The sequence below is a fragment of the Homo sapiens genome, chromosome 6, assembly GCF_000001405.40.
Source record: "Homo sapiens chromosome 6, GRCh38.p14 Primary Assembly".
Lineage (NCBI taxonomy): Eukaryota > Metazoa > Chordata > Mammalia > Primates > Hominidae > Homo > Homo sapiens.
In genome coordinates this window covers 19,689,395-19,692,201 of record NC_000006.12, presented here as the reverse complement: position 1 = coordinate 19,692,201, position 2,807 = coordinate 19,689,395, and the positions used below count along the sequence as shown (strand labels likewise).

The 2,807-nt window shown below is 44.5% G+C and overlaps 1 annotated feature.

Moving 5' to 3' along the window:
• Positions 271-774: an enhancer, noted in NCBI's record as "OCT4-NANOG-H3K27ac hESC enhancer chr6:19691659-19692162 (GRCh37/hg19 assembly coordinates)". NCBI's record gives its function as "activates a minimal SCP1, AML or CMV promoter by ChIP-STARR-seq in naive and primed H9 embryonic stem cells {active_cell/tissue: H9 hESC(naive and primed)}" and the evidence as "EXISTENCE:reporter gene assay evidence [ECO:0000049][PMID:30033119]".

Below are 2,807 nucleotides of genomic sequence, written 5' to 3'. Positions count from 1 at the left end.
CAAGATTAATGCGCGAAAGTGTGCTGATGCTATTAGCCTTCACTATACCGGCTGTATCTGAGTACTCCACGAGATCCAGTTAAAAGTGGGCCACAGCACTTATAAAAGATGGATTTTTCCTTAAGGGCGTGCGCGCGCGTACACACACACACCACACACACCACACACACACCGGAGCCCCTCACCCTGCAGTCTGGAACGCCCCTTTCCACCGCGAATGGGGCTCGTGGAGCCTGCAAAGGAGTCTGCCTTTGGTATGCGCTCTGGGAAAAGGGAGAGCCCTCGGGACGCGCTGTCACCAGGGACGCCTCGCTCCTGGCGCGCCGCTCCCACGTCCCCCGGCCTCCCCCGCCCTGAGTGTGGAAGTGGTGCTCATTCAGCCTTAGGGGGGCATTTCTGCATTCTTTTCCAACAAGATGACGGCCCTTCGCGGCGCCCCTTCCTCCGGCGCCTCTGCCAAGGAGCTGGGGGCGGGAGCCGCGCGCCCAGCCCGCGGCCCAGATGGCGGAGCAGCCCCGAGCGGGGACATTTTCTCAGGCTTTCAAAAAGAGCACTTTCTTTCCTGCCTAATATTTAGCTCCTTCAAATGCAAATGGAGAGGTTGCGCTCCAAGGTTAGCATAACAATTATGGGAAAGCTTTAAATCTGATGCGTTTGTTTACATGATGAAAGGCGGGCAGGATCCGAAAGCTCCAAGGCCCCGGCTTTTCAGCAACTATTTTCTAACTAGTCAACTGCGAGTCAATTTTAGATCACAAAGAAAACCAATTTATATCACGGTGTAGGCTAATTTTGGAGGGAGTTCCACATTATTATCAATTTTTTTTTTTCTTAAATGACCGCTGCTGGAAGAGTGATTTTTCCTTTTCCTTGGCGTCCTGAAGTTTGGTGTAAGCTAATTGGTGTTAGTGATAGGCAAGGAGGTCTTCATTACTGAGAACAATGCGAACCAGGGGATGGGGCGAACGCAGGTAAAGAGTTTTACGGAGAGTTGGTACGGTTTTAGCATAAAATGCATGAAAGCATCTTAGTTTGCCTGTCAAAGTTTATATTTTTTATTCGGCTTAGCTATTTTGGTATTTCAAAAAGGGTTGTGTGGTTTTAAATACTGCTGATGGGTATCAGACCTAGACTTCAGAGGAATGGCATTATCCCACTATGAAACCATTAATTTCTAGGCATCAACAGTGAGAACTGGGCAAAGCACATGAGATGTCTAAGATCTGCCAGGAAAAGGACCATGAAGGACTTGCCTGTGGTCAAGAATCTACATCTCAGGTCTTTTTTCCCCACTTCCTCTTTCCCTCTCTCCCTCCCTCCCTTCCGCTTCCGGTCCAGGAGACTTTTTCCAAACTTTCTTCCCGGGGGCCATCCTCTCACCTGTCATACACAGAAAAGTGAATTCTTGTTATCAGAAAGGGGCCCAATCCAGATCCCAAGAGAAGGCTCTTGGATCTCACACAAGAAAGTATTCCAGGCAAGTTTATTAAGAAAGCAAGTTTATTGAAAGCAAATCTGTTAAGAAAGCAAAGGAATAAAGAATGGCAACTCCACAGACAGAGCAGCAGCTTGGGCTGCTCCACGGATAATACTTAACAGTTATTTCTTGGTTATATGTTAAACAAGGGGTGTATTCTTCATGAGTCTTCTGGGAAAGGGGTGGACAGTTCCCGGAACTGAGGTTTCCTCCCCCTTTTAGACCATATAGGGTAGCTTCCTGATGTTGCCATGGCATCTGTAAACTGTCATGATGCTGTTGGGTGTGTCTTTTAGCATGCTAATGCATTATAATTAGCATATAATGAGCAGTGAGGACAACCAGAGGTCACTTTCTTTGCCATCTTGACTTTGGTGGGATTTGGTAGCTTCTTTTACCGCATGCTGTTTTATCAGCAAGGTCTTTATGACCTGTATCTTGTGCCGACCTCCCATCTCATCTTGTGAGTAATACCACCTGGGAATACAGCCCAGTGGGATCTCGGTCTTTTTTTACCCAACCCCTATTCAAGATGGAGTTGCTTTGGTTCAAATACCTCTGACACTCTTATTGAAATTCTGTGAGATCTCAGCCTATTAGCGTCCTTATCACTGGGAGACCCAGGAGGGGAATGAAGACCCTTGGGAGCTTATTGTCTATTGTCTTCATTGGCAATGTATTGGAAAATAGTTTATAAAACACCACTATTTACAATGCTGACTACTCTGAAAGTTTATAAGTGCATAGTATTTAACAATGTTTTCCCATTTGAGAGAGTATTTATGACCAACAGAAATATGCCATTTTCAATGTTAATATTCAGCCATAAAACCGTTTTTTTTTCTTGCAGTATTTGTACAGTTGAGCCGAAATGCCTGTTCTAACAAAGAGAGCCTGGGTAAGTGTGCATGCTCCATTGCCTGACAGGTATAAAGCAGTGGTTTTCAACTTCAATGTGCCGCAGAATCACTTGAAGAACTTCTAGCCTAAAAGAATCAAAGAACTATATAATTTCGAGAGAACACAAGATGCCAAAATTTTCCTAGTGTAGATGGCTCAATCAGTGTTGATTGAACTATCCACACTAGAAATTAAGTGAAATTGAGGGACTATTCTTAAATGTAAATATTTTTCTAATATAGGTTTTTAGAGATTGCTGACTTGATGTATTTAGGAACTCAAAGCAAATAGAGTCTTCTGGAGTAATAGATAAGCATTAGAAAACACTAGGTCTACCTGGCCGAATGAATGGATTCACAAAGGGGGGTGGTATATAAATGAAATATACTTAACTGATCTTGAACTACGTCGAGATCCACTGCACTGAAGA